At 38.2% G+C, this 18566-nt stretch overlaps 1 long non-coding RNA gene and 1 pseudogene across 2 annotated transcripts in view; both read right to left on the reverse strand.

Moving 5' to 3' along the window:
* Nucleotides 1-18566, reverse strand: part of SEPTIN7-DT (SEPTIN7 divergent transcript) — a 45662-nt gene that overhangs the window by 9532 nt on the left and 17564 nt on the right. For both annotated transcript variants that reach the window (NR_120512.1, NR_120511.1), the window contains exon 3: nucleotides 16714-16850. This is a non-coding gene — a long non-coding RNA (SEPTIN7 divergent transcript). The remainder of the gene's footprint in view (nucleotides 1-16713; nucleotides 16851-18566) is intronic.
* On the reverse strand, nucleotides 1163-4157 carry LOC442293 (glycine cleavage system protein H (aminomethyl carrier) pseudogene; annotated as a pseudogene).

Below are 18566 nucleotides of genomic sequence, written 5' to 3' on the forward strand. Positions count from 1 at the left end.
TGGCTATATGTTAAACATTTTTGAAGCTGAGTATTATATGAGAGTTGAATTTTTGTGATTTTTGGAAAATTCCAAGATAAAAAGTTTAAAAAGGCCAGGCATGGTAGCTCATGCCTGTAATCCCAGCACTTTGGGAGGCCGAGGTGGGTGGATTGCCTGAGCTCAGGAGTTCAAGACCGCCCTGGGCAACATGGTGAAACCCTGTCTCTACTAAAATACAAAAAATTAGCTGGGTGCGGTGGTGGATGCCTGTAGTCCCAGCTACTCAGGAAGCTGAGGCAGGAGAATCGCTTGAACTCAGGAGGTGGAGGTTGCAGTGAGCCAAGATTGCGCCATTGCACCCCAGCCTGGGCAACAGAGTGAGGCTCCGTCTCAAAAAAAAAAAAAAAAAAGTTTAAAAAGAGATTTTTAAAAATTTAGCCATTTCCCCATCGAGAAGAGAATTGTCCCCTATTTGTCACTTCAAATATTAGGTTGGTATAAAGGTAATTGCAGTTTCTACCATTAAAAGTAATATAAACATCCAAATAATAACCACTCTAACGAAGCAGCTTGTCAGAGAATTAGGAATTCCAGCCAAGTTCTTAACTTCTTGGGGCTTATAAACCCCTTAGAAAACATGATGAAACATATGAACACTTTTCCTGGAAAAAAAGCACATGTATACAAATTTGCATAAATATAGCCAGGTGTTTTTGACATTCTTTGAAGCTAATGTCATAGACCAGATTAAGAAAAGAAGGTCAGTTAAAGACCTGCATTGAAGTTCTGATACTATTATATGAATTGTTAGGTAATTTGTTAACCTGAAATTTTGTCACATTAGTTTTTTAATTGTTTAATATTCTACTCCACAGTTGGTACTTACATTCCTACCCAGAGTTTGCAGCCAGACGATTGGGGTTTGAGCCTTCCCTTTCCCACTTTTAAGCTGTAAGATCTCAGAAAGTCACTTAACCTTTCTGAGCCTCAGCTTCTTTATCTATAAGTTTGAAATAGTAATAAATACACTAAGTGCTATTGTGTGATAAAATGAGCTAATATAATTGAAAGTCCTTCATAAGATGTAAAGAGCACTGTAAATTGGTGGTCATATTTTATACCATTATGTGCCAGAAACTCTTCTAAACTTTTTTTTTTGAGATGGAGTTTTGCTATTTTTTTAACAAAAAAGTATTTTATTATTTTGCTGCAAAGCTGTTGCTTCACAGTGTAAAAATAGCACCAGCAAATGCAGTATATTGCAAAATTAAGATAGTGTTGTTCTTCATCTGACACTGTACAAGCAACAAAAACTTCTTCGCTCCCAGTTATTTCCAACGGAAAGATCATTAAGTGTTTCAACCCAAATCCAGGTATAGATATACACAAGTTACAACATTATAGAAGGCTTAAGAATAACATTATCATTGAATTATGTAATTTTTTATATACTTTAAGTTCTGGGATACATGTGCAGAACTTGCAGGTTTGTTACATAGGTATACACGTACCATGGTGGTTTGCTGCACCCATCAACCCGTCATCTACATTAGGTATTTCTCCTAATGCTATCCATCCCCTAGCCCCCCAATGGCACGATAGACCCTGTTGTGTGATGTTCCCCTCCCTGTGTCCATGTGTTCTCATTTTTAAAGTCCCACTTACGAGTGAGAACATGTGGTGTTTGGTTTTCTGTTCTGTGTTAGTTTGCTGAGAATGTGGTTTCCAGCTTCATCCATGTTACTGCAAAGGACATGAACTCATCCTTTTTTATGGCTGCATAGCATTCCATGGTGTATATGTGCCACATTTTCTTTATCCAGTCTATCATTGATGGGCATTTGGGTTGGTTCCAAGTCTTTGCTATTGTGAACAGTGCTGCAATAAACATACGTGTGCATGTGTCTTTACAGTAGAATGATTTATAAGCGTTTGGGTATATAACCAGTAATGGGATTGCTGGGTCAAATGGTATTTCTGGTTCTACATCCTTGAGGAATCCATTGCCTTCCACAATGGTTTAACTAATTTACACTGTCATCAACAGTGTAAAAGCATTCCTATTTCTCCACATCCTCTCCAGCACCTGTTGTTTCCTGACTTTTTAATGATTGCCATTCTAATTGGTGTGAGATGGTATCTCACTGTGGTTTTGATTTGCATTTCTTTAATAACCAGTGATGATGAGCTTTTTTTCACGTTTGTTGGCTGCATGTCTTCTTTTGAGAAGTGTCTGTTCATATCCTGTGTCCACTTTTTGATGGGGTTGTTTTTTCTTGTAAATTTGTTTAAGTTCCTTGTAGATTCTGGATATTAGCCCTTTGTCAGATGGATAGATTGCAAATATTTTTTCCCATTCTGTAGGTTGCCTGTTCACTCTGATGATAGTTTCTTTTGCTGTGCAGAAGCTCTTTAGTTTAATTAGATCCCATTTGTCAATTTTGGCTCTCTTGCCATTGCTTTTGGTGTTTTAGTCATAAAGTCTTTGCCTATGCCTGTGTCCTGAATGGTATTGCCTAAGTTTTTTCTAGGGTTTTTATGGTTTTAGGTCTTACGTTTAAATCTTTAACCCATCTTGAGTTAAATTTTGTATAAGGTGTGAGGAAGGGTCCAGTTTCAGTTTTCTGCATACGGCTAGCCAGTTTTCCCAGCACCATTTATTAAATAGGGAATCCCTTCCCCATTTCTTGTTTTTGTCAGGCTTGTCAAAGATCAGATGGTAGTAGATGTGCAGTGTTATTTCTGAGGCCTCTGTTCTGTTCCATTGGTCTATATATCTGGTTTGGTACCAGTACCATGCTGTTTTTTTTACTGTAGCATTGTAGTATAGTTTGAAGTCAGGTAGCATGATGCCTCCAGCTTTGTTCTTTTTGCTTAGGATTGTCTTGGCTATACGGGCTCTTTTTTGGTCCCATATGAACTTTAAAGTAGTTTTTTTCTAATTCTGTGAAGAAAGTCAATGGTAGCTTGATGGGGATAGCATTGAACCTATAAATTACTTTGGGCAGTATGACCATTTTCACGACATTGATTCTTCCTATCCATGAGCATGGAATATTTTTCCATTTGTTTGTGTCCTCTCTGATTTCCTTGAGTAGTGGTTTGTAGTTCTCCTTAAAGAGGTTCTTCCCTTTGTAAGTTGTATTCTTAGATATTTTAATCTCTTTGTAGCATTTGTGAATGGGAGTTCACTCATGATTTGGTTGCTTGTCTATTATTGGTGTATAGGAATGCTTGTGATTTTTGCACATTGATTTTGTATCCTGAGACTTTGCTGAAGTTGCTTATCAGCTTAAGGACATTTTGGACTGAGATGATGGGGTTTTCTAAATATACAATCATGTCATCTGCAAACATTATGTAATTTTTATAACTAGTTTTTACCATGGATAATTTAATGAATTCTGAATACTAGAGCCTAGTCTAAAAATCATAGAGTATTATAAAATAGAAGAATATTATGTTTGTCTATAATCATTTGAAAGATAAAGGGCATTTTCTTTCATTAGTGTTAACAGTAGTTTTTTTTTCCCCATCGGTAATGCTAAAAGTTGCTATTCTAAGTCTTCTAACCACCGCTAATTTAAGACAATTCTGCTGGGTTGCATAATTTCATACTAGTTTATTTAGGGGTTCCATTATCGCTCCTCAATAGATTTTATGTATGTCTCATACACTTCTTCACTCATAAGTTAATCCAGTTCTGAAGAGTTACTCAGTGTCATCTTTATCAGCCAACCATCTTCACAACAAGATTTGTTGACAAGTCCTGGATTTTCTGCAAGAGCTTCATTAATTTCAGTTACTTCTCCTGATTAAAGAGAATAGATTTCACTAGCAGCTTTCACACTTTCCAAAGCACAAAACTCATCTTGTTTGTTCAATTTTGTCCCAACTTCAGACAGACTACAGTAAACAACATCTCCCAAAGCTTCGTTTGCAAAATTATTGATTCCCACTGTTCCAATACCATTTTCTGTTGTTATCCATTCATGCTTCTCTGTGAATTTACACACCCAGAGCAGAACGGGTCCTGTGAGCAGCGTCCAGATGGCGCCCGCCCCCAGCTGCCAGGGCCTTGGCAGGCAGGGCACGGCGGGTGCCCAGAGCGCGCGCAGGCTGCAGAGCACGGCCCGCATGCTCCGTGCTGCTTGCAGGGCCATGTTCGCAGGAGTTTCGCTCTTGGTGCCCAGGCTGGTGCAATAGCGCGATCTCGGCTCACTGTGACCTCCGGCTCCTGGTTCAAGCGATTCTCCTGCCTCAGCCTCCCGAGTAGCTGGTATTACAGGGGCGCGACACCGAACCCAGCTAATTTTTGTATTTTTAGTAGAGATGGGATTTCACCATATTGGTCAGGGTGGTCTCGAACTCCTGACCTCAGGTGATCCACCCGCCTCGGCCTCCCAAAGTGCTGAGATTACAGGCGTGAGCCACCGCGCCCGTCCTAAACTTTTTAAGTACTGTCATTAACCTCATTTTTACCCATTAGAAAATTGAGGTTGGGAGAAGTCAAGTAACTTGCTTGGTGTCACACAGCTAGTAAGTAGTGGAATTAGGATTTGAGCCCAGCCATTCTGACTCTAGATTGACTGCCCTTAATTCTTATGCTGCGAATTACATTATTATTTACCCAAAATATAACATCCCTCCACTGCCCTATGATATAATGTTTTGATCATCTGATTAATTCTGTTAACCTAGCACTGTGAGGAAAACTATAATTCAAGTAGCAGTCAAATTCTAAGAAAAAAATATATGCCACTTTCATCTATGTTAAACCTTGTGTTGGTTTTTAAAACAATTTTTAACTAAAGTGTTTTACATTTAAATTTCATATTCTTAATTTTTTTTCTGTATAATTTTTTTCTTTTTTTCTTTTTTTTTCTTTGAGATAGAGTCTTGCTGTGTCACCCAGGCTGGAGTGCAGTGGCACGATCTTGGCTTACTGCAACCTCCACCTCCCAGGTTCAAGCAATTCTCCTGCCTCAGCCTCCTGAGTAGCTGGGATTACAGCTAATTAGACCACCAGCTGATTTTTGTATTTTTATTTTTATTTATTATTATTATTTGTTTTTTGAGATGGAGTCTCGCTCTGTTGCCCAGACTGGAGTACAGTGGCACAGTCTCTGTTCACTCCAACCTCTGCCTCTCAAGTTTAAGCGATTCTCCTGCCTTAGCCTCCTGAGTAGCTGGGTTTACATCACACCACCATGCCCTGCTAAGTTTTGTATTTTTAATAAAGACAAGGTTTTACCATGTTGGCCAGGTTGGTCTTGAACTCCTGACTTCAGGTGATCCACCCACCTCAGGCTCCCAAAGTGCTGGGATTACAGGCGTGAGCCACTGTGCCCGGCCTAATTTTTGTATTTTTAGTAGAAATGGGGTTTCGCCATAATGGCTAAGCTGATCTTGAACTCCTGGCCTCAAGTGATCCTCCAGCCTCGGCCTCCCAAAATGCTGGAATTACAGGTGTGAGCCACCATGCCCAGCCCTGTTTAATTTTTATATTGTAAAATTTTACTTTATTTAAGACCTTCTTTGGAGAAGTGCTTGTGGAGGCTGGGGCAGGGAAAACACAAGGTGAGTCTGAGGCATCATGTGGTGCCAAAAAAGTAAGGAGTGCTAAAAAAAATAATGGGGGCATGTCAGGAAGACATAGGGGCCAACTAGAAAGAGCTCCCAGTGGCCAAAGCTGAAGCAATTTGATCAAAAAGTAAGTAACAATAGCATTGGATTACAATCCACATAATAAATATTTATGAATTCATATTGATATTAACAAATAATTGCATTTTTAAAAACTAATGGAACAAAAGAGACAGCCTACATAAAATTCCAATTAATAAATATGGAAAAAATGAGGGAAATAGAAAATTAAAAACAGAACACCACACTAATATTTGTTGCAGGCAAGATCCATTAATGAATGCTTAAAATCAGTGGAATAGAAACAGGATATTTTCAATTTCAACATATCTTCCCCAAGATATTTATTAATAATAAAGGTAAAAATAGTAACTTTGTAGTGGAGAAACCTGGCAAATAGCACCTTAATCAAGTGATGGAGACTAGCATTACTGTAATAAGACATATCAGTATCATGAACCCCCGATCATGATGTTGTGAGAAGGGCCCATCATTGCTGTGTATGCTTATCAAAAAATGCATAAACTTGATTTAATCATGAGAAAACATCAGACACAGAAAAACTGAAGAACATTCTACAAAAACCTGACCAGTACTCTTCAAAAATGTGAAGGTCATGAATGTCAAGGAGACACCGAGTCTACATAAAGTCTACATAGTTGGCAACTAAAAGGACGTAACAACTAAATGCAATGTGGGGCCGGGTGCAGTGGCTCATGCCTGTAATCCCAGCACTTTGGGAGGCCAAGGCAGGAGGACCACTTGAGGTCAGGGGTTCGAGACCAGCCTGGCTAACATGGCGAAACCCCATCTCTACTAAAAATACAAAAATTGGCCAGGCGTGGTGGCATGGGCCTGTAATCCGAGCGACTTGGGAGGTGGAGGCAGGAGAATCGCTTGAACCCAGGAGGTAGAGGTTGCAGTGAGCCAAGATCACACAACTGCACTCCAGCCTGTGCAACAGAGTGAGACTCCATCTCAAATAAATAAATAAATTAATTAATTAAAAAAAGAAAAACCAAAAATAAGCAAATAAATGCAATGTGGGATCCCAAATTGGATCCTAGAAAAGAAAAATGATATTGGGAAAACCAGGGCAATACAAATAAAGTCTGTAGTTTAACTAATAATAGTATTATACCAATGTTAATTTACTAGTTTTGACAATTGTAATATGGTTACATAAAATGTAAACATTAGGGGAAGCTGGGTGAAGCGTACATGGGAATTCTTAGTACTATTTTTGTAACTTTTCTGTAAGTCTAAAATTATATCAAAATAAAATGCTAAGAAGGAAAGTAAGCCCAGACCCTGCATTGTTTTAAAAAATTGTTTAAACAATCTAGTCCAATATTTCCCCAAATTCAGTCATTTGAATATAAATTTCAGGATTTTGACAATCTATGTAATAATAGTAATATCAACAACAACAATCAACATGTAGTGAATTGTCACAATATTTGACAAGGGAGGAAAATGAGGCGCAAAAAAGTAAGCAACTTATTCAAGGTCACAGAACTAATAGCTGGTAGAACCAGGATTCAACCTTAGGCAATTTGATGTAGCATTCATCTTCATTTCTCCTCTATACTATCTCTGACCTGTATCCTGTACTGCTATGATATGTATTATTATTTACTTACTAACTTAAAATTAAACCCATTTTTAAACTTAAAAAACAATAATCAAGCAAAATAATAAGCTATGTTATAGGGTCCTCAGGACAGAAGTTTTTGTTTTATCCACTAATATTTTATTCACAAGTTCATTGAACAGTGCCTGGCACACAGAAGGTACTCAACAAATATTTGTTGTGTGAATAAGTGAATAAATAACTTTATATCACAACTATAAGTAGCAAACCAGCACCATTTGCCAGAAATAGAAAGTTATCTTCTAAGTAAATATGATGAAAATAATATAAAATTATTAAATGTTATTGCTTCCTGAAGGCTCTGGACCTGAGCCCAGTATCTCTATATTTAAAAAGTAGTGTAAGTGTTAGAAGATATCAAAAGAGGATACCAGTTCCAAACAGACTTTCTATTTGATTTAATCAGATGGATTTAAAGAGAATAATTTTCTGAGCAAACCAATTTTATTTGAAGTCATATCAGTATGCCACCTAAAATCATCATACAAATGACCAGGGTAATGTCCCATTCTTTAGGAAAGATGGCCTTCTTGTAAAGGGACCAGTTGAGTCAGGGTTCATATAATATTAGACAATTCAGTCTCTCTCAATCTTCTTCACTCTTCCTTAAATATCATCTTGTCTGTAATATCCTACTTCCTCTTATTTACCTCTCTATTCCTACCACCAATCCCCTAGATAATTATTTGTCTCTGTAACACTCTTTGTGCATTTCTCTTTAATAGCACTTAAAACATAAATTCTTAAATTCATAATTATCTTTTCCCAAGTCTGTCTCCTTCACTTAAATTATAATTATATTGGGCATCAGAGAGAGTGTCATAGCATGTTTATATCTCCAGAGCTCATACCACTATCTAAAAAGATGAAAGGCCCATAATAAATTGTTGATTTATTAAATTAAGCAAATTAGAGGAAAAGAGAGAATTGTCCAATTTTCTTCTATCCATGAAGCCATGATTTTGTCATTGCCTGCATTTGAGACGCTTACTCTTGAGATCATTCATAAGATCTTCCCAAATACACATAAGGGTTCTACATGAAGATGAAAGGTACATATTGATCCTTTCCTTCAAAAGACTTCAGAATTAATTTGCTTCCTAGGGCAATTATAATATAATATCATTCTCCCTTTGGGAGAATAAATGCTTCGCCCAGGATGGGCAACTCCTTCGTAGATGTGACTGCAGCATTTTTGCAGCTTGCTGATAAAGTGGGGTAGTGCTAAGGTCACTTTTCTATACCTGGGTGATGATCTCTGCTCTCCACAGAAAAAAATAATGGAACAATACAGGTCCTAGCTGACATGAGTAAGAAAGGTACAAGATAGTAAAGGAAACACATCACAGAACAACATTTTTACTAGAAACCAGAGCTGCAACCTTCCTCAGATATCTCTTAAGATGGCTAATAACAGTTTCTTGGAAACTAGCCTGTTAATAACTATTGCATTTGAGAACAGGATTCAATATATAAATACAAGCCCTAATATAGAGGCACATAGCAAGCATCACTAAAATATTGAGCTGAAATCATCTCCATATTATGAAATTATTATTCAGAAAGCAATAGCTTTCATATATATATGAATAGAATGGAAAAGAGTCTATTTATAATAAGTGTTAATAAATATAAAATACTTCATCTTCATTCATAATCAGAGAAATGTTATCAAAATTGTAAAACCATACAGATAACTAGCTTTCTTCTATCAGACAGGTGAAAATCTAAAAGTTTTACAACATGCCCTATTGGCAAAGCTGTCAGGAAACAGGCACTCTTATGCATGTAGCATAAACTGGCACAATTCTTATGGAAGGTAATTTGGCAATAATATCAAAATTACAAATGCATTTACACCTTAACCTGCCAACGTCACTTCTGGGAATTTATCCTTTACACCTGCAACACATGAAATTACAGATATACACTGTTATTCATTGCCTCACTGTTTGTAATAGCAAAGGATTGGGGAAAAAAACCAAACATTCATCAAAAGGGCTTTTTTTGTACAAAATATATTTGTACAAAAATAAACTAGGCAGGGCTCAGTGGCTCACGCCTGTAATCCCAGCACTTTAGGAGGCTGAGGCAGGTGGATCACCTGAGGTCAGGAGTTCGAGACCTGCCTGGCCAACATGGCGAAACCCCATCTCTACAAAAAAATGCAAAAATTAGCTGGGCATGATGGTGCATGCCTGTAGTCCCAGGCTGAGGCACAAGAATTGCTTGAACCCGGGAGGAAGAGGTTGCAATCAGATGAGATCGTGCCACTGTACTCCACCCTGGGCAATAGAACAAGAATCTGTCTCAAACAAAAACAAAAACAAACATAAATAAATAAAATAAATTGTATAAATCTCAATTGAGAGACACTTTACAAAATACCTGACCAGTACTCCTCAAAACTGTCAAGGTCATCAAAAACAAGAAACTTACACAGCCAAGAAGAATCTGAGACATGATGACTAAATGTAGTATAATATCATGAAACAGGAAAAGATAAAACTAAGGATATCAGAATAAAGTATAGACTTTAGGTAGTAATAATAAATCAGTATCGGCTCAATAATTGTAACAAGTATACCATACTAAAGTAAGATGTTAATAATAGGGGAATCTGCGTGCCTGGTGTATGGGAATTCTCTGTACTATCTTCACAATATTTTTGCAAATATAAAACTGTTCTTAAAAATGAAGGTTATTAGGCCGGGCATGGTGGCTCACACCTGTAATCCCAACACTTTGGGAGGCCGAGGAGGATGGATCACCTGAGTTCGGGGGTTTGAGACCAGCCTGACCAATATGGTGAAACCCCATCTCTACTAAAAATACAAAAATTAGCTGGTCGTAGTGGCAGGCGCCTGTAGTCCCCGCTACTCGGGAGGCTGAGACAGGAGAATCACTTGAACCCGGGAGGCAGAGGTTGCAGTGAGCCGAGGTCATACCACTACACTCCAGCCTGGGGGAAAGAGCAAGACTCTGTCAAAAAAAAAAAAAGGAGGTTATTAATAAAAATATGTAAATTACAGGATAGCCATATAATAGAACAGTTCTATACAACACTCAAGAAAGAACAAAGAGGCTCTCTCTGAAGTAACAAAAAAAAAAAAATCTTCAATGTTGTTAACTGAAAAAAAGAGTTATGTAAGGACTTTTATTTGTCTAAAGAAACCCTGAGGTCGGGCGCGGTGGCTCATACCTGTAATCCCAACACTTTGGGAGGCTGAGGTGGGAGGATCATCTGAAGTTAGGAATTCTAGACCAGCCTGGCCAACCTGGTGGAACTCCGTCTCTACTAAAAATACAAAAATTAGCTGGGCGTGGTGGCAGGCGCCTGTAATTCCAGCTACCTGGGAGGCTGAGACAGGAGAATTGTTTGAACCCGGGAGGTGGAGGTTGCAGTGAGCGGAGATGGTGCCACTAGACTCCAGCCTGGGTGACACAGCAAGACTCCGTCTCAAAAAAAAAAAAAAATTAAAAAAAAAAAAAGAAAGAAAAAGTGAAAGAAAAAAAAAAGAAACCCTGCATGCACACACAAGCATCTAATATCAGTGGCCATCTGTTGAGGTGGAGTGATGAAACAAAGTGGATGGAACACAGGGTGAGAAGATACACACACACACACACACACACACACACACACACACACACACACACACACTAACCATGTAAATGCAATACCTATTTAACTAATTTTGTTGCCTCCTGCCTATATGATTGTATAAATAAGCAGTGAGATGGACCCTGGGTAAAATGAGATCATAGTTGAGAAGCAACCCTTTTCCTCAAATGCTGCATCTTCCACTCTTGTATCTCTGTGTATTCTTTTTTTTTTTAAGTGTAAAATGATTTGAGCCTGGCAAACCTGTGTGAACTAATCTCCTACAACCAAAACTCCCAAATGCCTAAAAGATCATGCCACCCTTCCATGGTATCCTGTTTCTTTTTATGTAAAGTGAGGGCTGGCATAAATAAAATTTTCTGTTCTGAAAAACTCTTATTATCAATGAAAGAGAGATAATTTATGGAGAGAAAAAACAGGGGAGTAAGTACAGAATGGCAGATCCATAAGAAATTGTTCCAAATGAAAAGCAAGCTATGAAAATTGGTATTTTCAAAAAAGATTAACGAAGTCAATCTCTGTCCTACCTCTACTGCGATATTCCTTCCCTGAATATTTTAACAGTAGATATATAACAGGGACAGAATAATTTGAAATCAGAAGTTTCTCATTTTAAAAAAACTAGTGATTTAAAGAGTAAAATTCACTTTACCTTGATTCCAAAGAGCTGTTAGAAACACAACTCTCATGGAAGGACATTTAATTATATGAGCTTCACAATAACATTGTCTTCAAATCAGGCCTACCCCCTAACATTTGGAGGATCTGAGTCAAAAGCACATATTGAAGTCAACTTCTCATGTTGACTTTAAAACTCTAAATATTTTAAAGTTACAAACAAAGCAAAATAAACTGTTAAATAAATACTTAAATCCTCCTGCCTGGACACCTTTATAAAACCCTGAAATATCAGGTTTTAATTTAGATTTCTCAAACTCTTCAAAGTTCCATACCTGCTTAGTCCCCAGCCCCATGGCTACCTACCCTTGGGAGGGTGGAGGTGAGGAAGAAGCCATGGAAGTTGCTTGGACCATGTGAGCTAGGAATTCCTCCATCCTGGTTACCCCAAATGTGGTCTGATGAGGGCATACAGACTCTGAGTGAGTACATCCCTTTAGCAACACAGACACTTTACCCCATGAAGAGGGGCAGGACCCAAGAAAGGCCAGAGTGGAAACCTCAAATGTTTGGGGTTCAGGCTCAGGGGACATTCTCACTCTGGCCTAAGGATTATACTGCTTCAGATACTTCTTGGTGATCAATCGTTAGATGAGGGAATAGAGAGTAAAGCTTTCATTCTTCTGGATACTTTGGAATATTATTTTTAAATGTAAATTTTTTATGACATTAGTTGACAAATCAAAAGTTGTAATGATTTGTCTTTTGGATCATTTCTCAGCCTTCTGGCTAAGACCAAGTGTGATTTGTCTTTTGGCATCATGCAGCATTAGAATTTTCTGAAATTCAAGGTCATATACAAAGTGAAGTGGAGTTGGTTGATTCTTATTATTATTTTGTGTGGTTTTTACATAATGTGCAATCCAAAAGATAATCTCTAGGGAGGAGTAATAGGAGTAGAGAGAATGGAAAAGGAGACTTTTACCCTTAGTTGATACCATTCTGAACTGTGGGACTTTTTTATCGTTTGGATATATCACATTTACATTAACATGACAAAAAATTAAAGATCTTTTAATAGTCTCTTATGCAAATATAGAAGTTTGAATGCTGAATTTAATGATTAGGCATAGGTCTTTTGGTCTCCAGATGAAACACTGCCAACTCAACATATTAGGTAATGTGATAAATACAGAAATGCTATTTTTTCTTAATGGCAACATTCACATTTGAAGCAAGCTGTCAGTAGCAAACAGCTTTGCTTGAGTTGCCTGGTTTAGCAGATGTCTTTGTTAGGAATGTGACAATTATCACCATTGTTTATTTCAGTGAATATCAAGTAGTACAGAGGGAAGCCAAGTCCTCATCAATAGTGCACATGGTTAATTGCATCATGATAACTTCTCACATGCCTTACTCTTTGTTACTTGCTCTTGAAATTATGAAAAGACATATCTGACTCTGACTAAAAAGGTGAATGCAGTTCAAAGTCAATATCAGCTGTAACACAAAACTATGTAGACCACATGGGAATAGGCAAATTACTTTTTTCCAGCTACTTTACTTGCTGTATAATAATAATAGGTAACATTTACTGAGCACTGACTTTGTACCAGATAATTAAGAAGCACTTTACATACATGATCTCTTTCAATTATAATCAGAAGCTTCCCTGATATTTGCATATATTCTTTCACTTGCACTGTGTCTTCCTTTTAACATGTTATTATTTGCTATAGTGCCAAAGGCTTATTTTGATATGATGAATATCATGAATTTTGTCCACTAAATAATTCCCATTATGGAAGTTCCATTATAAGGAGAAAATGTATACTATAATAAAGACTAAATTATTAAGGAAAACAAAATAAAAATCTTGCTCCCCAAGACAAGTTAAATTGATCCTTAATTCTATAAATTAAATCAAGTCAAAGCTTGATATAGAATTCAACAATTCTATAAACAATAAAACATCTACTATGGGAGCGCTTCATATTCATTGGGTCGGATGCAAAAATGAATTAGGCTGTGTCCCTGTCTTCCAAGATGTATGCTTTAATGGAGAAGAGAAACACGTAGGTGCCAAAACAGACTGTACTCAGTTCTGTGTTCCAGATATTAACCAAGTATTTGATAATGCAGGGTGACTCTTGTTCTGACTTTGGTGATGGAGACAGCATTTTGAAAGAGAATGATTTGAATGAGGTCCCTGACCATGGGCCCTGAACTTTTGAGGGTCCCACTCTGGCCTTCTGGGGGCTCTACAAAAGCTGATCTAGGAGGAAGACCATCAGACAGAGGCAATAGTCTAAGAAAAGGCAACTGAGACCCTGGTCTGTTTGAGAGACTTGCCACACAGACCAGGCTGCAAGAATGGAGTGGAGATAAGATGAGAGAGATGGATTCAGACCAAATCATGGAGATCTTTGACTACAGAGGAAAGGGGTAGGGTATAAAAGTCTTTGAACTGGAAGTGTGACTTGGTCATATCTGAACCTTAGGAAGATGACACTAGCAGCAGTGTTCAAAAATGTGACATTCGAGGTGACAGAGAAAGACAAGTAAGTAAGCCAAAGAATGAGAAAGAGCTTTCTTTCTTTTTTTTTTTTTTAGACGGAGTCTTGCTCTGTCACCCAGGCTGGAGTGCAGTGGTGTGATCTCAGCTCACTGCAACCCTCCTCCTGGGTTCAAGCGATTCTCCTGTCTCAGCCTCCCGAGTAGCTAGGACTACAGGTGCATGTCACCACACCTGGCTAATTTTTGAATTTTTAGTAGAGATGGAGGTTTCACCATAGTGGTGAGGCTGGTCTAGAACTCCTGACCTTAGGTGATCCACCCGCCTCAGCCTCCCAAAGTGCTGGGATTACAGGTGTGATACACCACGCCCAGCTGAGAAAGAGCTTTCTATAATGTGAAGAAATCACTGTGAATGGTACAGTTATTTTGCTATTTTTTTGCTAATTCGAGGAAGACAAACTGAAACCAGAGAGACTTTTTAACATGCTTTTGCAATAGTCCACAGAGGAGTTAATGAGTTTCTGAAGAAGGGAGTGAACAGAGAAGACTGATTTGAAAGATAATGGTGGAAGGAGATGCCATTGAATTGATTAGCCAAGATCAAAAACACACCAGTAAAAAGTGATGAGTTGAATTTAGATCAGAGTTTAAAGTGTCTGCAATGCATCAGTGTGGAATGCTCAGCATCCAATTAGAAATAAGGGTCTGATTAGGGGAAGACAGATGAGGGCTAAAGGGACAGAGGTAGGAGTCATTCTCACAAAGGTGAGAGGTATAGCAATTAAATAATTGAGTCATAAGATAGGATGAGACTACCAAGGGACTATTGAGAGTTAAAAGAGAGGACTGAACACTGAATCTTCAGAAAGCTTACATGTAACCGGCCTATTCTAAAGGGGGAGAAGAGGAATCCTGAAAGGAAACTACACAGAAGCAGTTCATGAGGGAGGAGGAGAGGAGAATGCAACATGAATTCCAGTGGAGATGAGGGTTCTAGTGAGAAAAGCGTGGTCCATGTTGTCAAATTCTGCTGAAACCAGAATTTCAGCAGAAGGTCTAAGAAGAGGATTTTGGCTTTTGAACTTTGCAGAGGCTGAAGGTGCTTAGGATTAAGTGGGGGAAGAAACCAAGATGGATGAAGTTTGTGGATGAAGAAGAAAAAGAGAGAGACAGAAATACAAAGAATGGAAATTAGACTCCAGGGAGAGTCTCCTTAGGGCAGGAGAGAAACGGTTTGCAGTTATTAAGGGGAGGACTCGAAGAAGAGATGATTGATAGAGCAAAGTCAAAGAGGACATGGGAAGGGAAGAGAGAAAAAGGGTAGATGAAAACACTGGCTTTAGAACAAAATCACAAAAATTCTTCTTCAGACACCGGGGGAAGATAAGTGAATAGGTAATAATTTGGACAAAATGATATTTATAAGTTATTCTTATCAGATGACCTCCAGCTTCTAGTAAATTAGGTGGCAAAAGAGGTTAGAGGTAGATGTAGAAATTTGGTAAGACTGCAGAGGAGTGAAACAACAGATAGAACTATTTTAAGAGTGAATGAATGAGAGATGAGAAAAGGAATGTCCAGTGTTGTTGAGTTCCAAGACAAACTGTACAATACAACTTTTAGAGCAGTCAGTCAGCCTGGTTATGGTATGTTCTCCAGAAATGTTCAGCTGCCAAGAAATGGGTAAAGAAGATACAGATGGTTTCCTTAACTAGGGCTGGAAATCAGCAGAACAGGTGTGACAGAAGAACAGTGAGATGAGTCATTAGAATGCTGGCGAGGGCAAAGTGAGAAAAGTTGTCCCAAGGACTCATGAGGTGCCTTATGATGTCCTGTGAAACCAGGAAGACTAGTGGATGGGGAAAAAGCAAAGGGACTGGATCTAGTGATGTGAAGAATGGGTCAGAAGGTATGAGGTTATAGGAGAGATAGAAAGATAGGTAGTGGTCAGAGGAAATTTTTCACGTTTGACAGTCTCAGATGTGGAGAAGTTGAGGGTGATGGTGAAAACTAAGGTATGTCTGGCTACACCAAAGAGGATCTGAGGCAGAATGAGATGAAAGTCACAAAGATCAAGTTAAGGAGCCAATAGTTCAGAAAGTTAGAAAGATTATCAACATGTATTTTGAATCTCCCAAAATACTGTGGTTGGTAGCTGAGACTTATTTAATATGATGAAAGCCACACATTAATATGATATTAAAATATGAGTCACTAGAAAAGTATCTGGAAGGGGGTCACTCAACCTTGCTCCTTCAACAAATATATATCAGGTAATATAATGGGCTTAACATGAAACTACATTCAACAAGCATGATATGATGGATATGTTTTTAAACAATGGTTTAATTAACGTTGAGTTTAGTTCCCACTGTCAGAGTACAACTTAGCACCTTGTGGATGACCTTGCACTAAAAGTAGAAAATACAAATCAGTTACCATGAAGAAGGAAAGAAAAGTAGAGAAGTTAAATCCAGTAATTAAGAAACATCACCATACATTTAAATGAATGGTTGGACCAAGTAAATAATAATAATGCTCAAGAAATTACCTGTATTCATCCTGAAACTGCTAATCATTCCCTAATGTTTTGCCCTAAGAGTATACATTTTCACACTCAAAGATTCTTTGTACAAACAGTCAATGGACCCAGAAATACAGGCTTTCTCACCAATTTGCCTTCTAGGTTGTCATAAGACTAGCTCGGTGGTGGCACATCTGGAGTCATCGAATGCAGGAACCACAACAAATGGGACTCACTGGTTCTTTGTACCACATATGGGAACACAGCCACAATTTTCTAAAGTTCTGAAAATAAATAAATTTTTTTTTAGAGACAAGTACAGTGACTCTATTATATACACTCATCAGGAGATTGTGCAGAGTTTGGGATGTTGTAATCATCTAACTCAAAGAGGAATTGTTAGCCAGATGTCGAAAAATACATGTAAATAGGCTCTGGGAGTACATGTTATCTCTAAATCTTCCCAAAGAATGTTGAACTAGTCCTAGAACATTTACTTACATATGCTTTTCAAACAATCTTTAGAGTAAACTGAGAAGCCCTCTTTTGCATTACTTTGGTTAGTCCAATATAGATAAAACATTGATAATTGTTGAAGCTGTGTGGTGGATATGAGAGTTTATCATACTCTTCTCTCTTCTTTTGTATATGTTTGAAATGTTTCATAATAAGAAGTAAAAAAACATAAAAGGAGAGAGGAGACAGTCTCCTTATGGGGCTTGTATAGCTGGTGGTAAATGAGACCCCTTTCTTTTCTTCTTCCTGTTGACACACTGTAACCTGTGAAAAGCTGCTTACTCAAGTTTCCTTTTCAACAGAACAAATTAGAATGCACTGAGCCTAAGTTATGGATGGCATAGCATCATTATTGTTCCTCATATTCCTTCATGCGTCATAAAATTCTTCCACGTGCTGTCATTTCATTTGCTCCCACAGAACTTCCGTACTCACACGCTTCTCCCAAATAGTTTTCCTCCCAACATCCATCCTGAATGCAACAGGTTTTAATCATTCATGAACCAATCTTTATGGAACACCTAGTAAGTGTCATTATTTTAACATTATTTTATAAATTCCATGCCTAATTATTTTTGCGTGACAAAAATATCATCTAACAGAAAGCATTTATTTCCTCAATAAACATCTATTAAGCACTTAATATCTGCAAAGTAGGTATCAAGGCCTTGGTTATAAAGCTTGCTGGAAACTTCTGCAAGGAAGCAAAAATGGTTGAAGATTAGTGAGGTGAGGGCCTGGGGCAGTGACTCACGCCTGTAATCCCAGCACTTTGGGAGGCAGAGCGGGGTGGATCACAAGGTCAGGAGATTGAGACCATCCTGGCTAACATGGTGAAAACCCATCTCTACTAAAAATACAAAAAAGTAGCCAGGCATGCTGGCACGCACTTGTAGTCCCAGCTACTTGGGAGGCTGAGGGAGGAGAATCGCTTGAACCCAGGAGGCGGAGGTTGCAGAGCATGCTACTGCACTCCAGCCCGGGTGACAGTGAGACTCTGTCTCAAAAAAAAAAAAAAAAAAAAATTAGTGAGGTGGCACTTCTAGTGAGTAAGTGAGAATATTTAAAAATGCAGATTCTCTTGCTGTTTTGGTTACTGTACCCTTGTAGTATAGTTTGAAGTCAGGTAGCACGATGCCTCCAGCTTTGTTCTTTTTGCTTAGGATTCTCTTGGCAATGTGGGCTCTTTTTTGGTTCCACATGAACTTTAAAGTAGTTTTTTCCAATTCTGTGAAGAAAGTCATTGGTAGCTTGATGGGGATGGCATTGAATCTATAACTTACCTTGGGCAGTATGGCCATTTTCACAATATTGATTTTTCCTGTCCATGAGCATGGAATGTTCTTCCATTTGTTGGTGTCCTCTTTTATTTCATTGAGCAGTGGTTTGTAGTTCTCCTTGAAGAGGTCCTTCACATCCCTTGTAAGTTGGATTCCTAGGTATTTTATTCTCTTTGAAGCAATTGTGTTTGGGAGTTCACTCAG

Source organism: Homo sapiens, chromosome 7, assembly GCF_000001405.40.
Source record: "Homo sapiens chromosome 7, GRCh38.p14 Primary Assembly".
Taxonomy (NCBI): domain Eukaryota; kingdom Metazoa; phylum Chordata; class Mammalia; order Primates; family Hominidae; genus Homo; species Homo sapiens.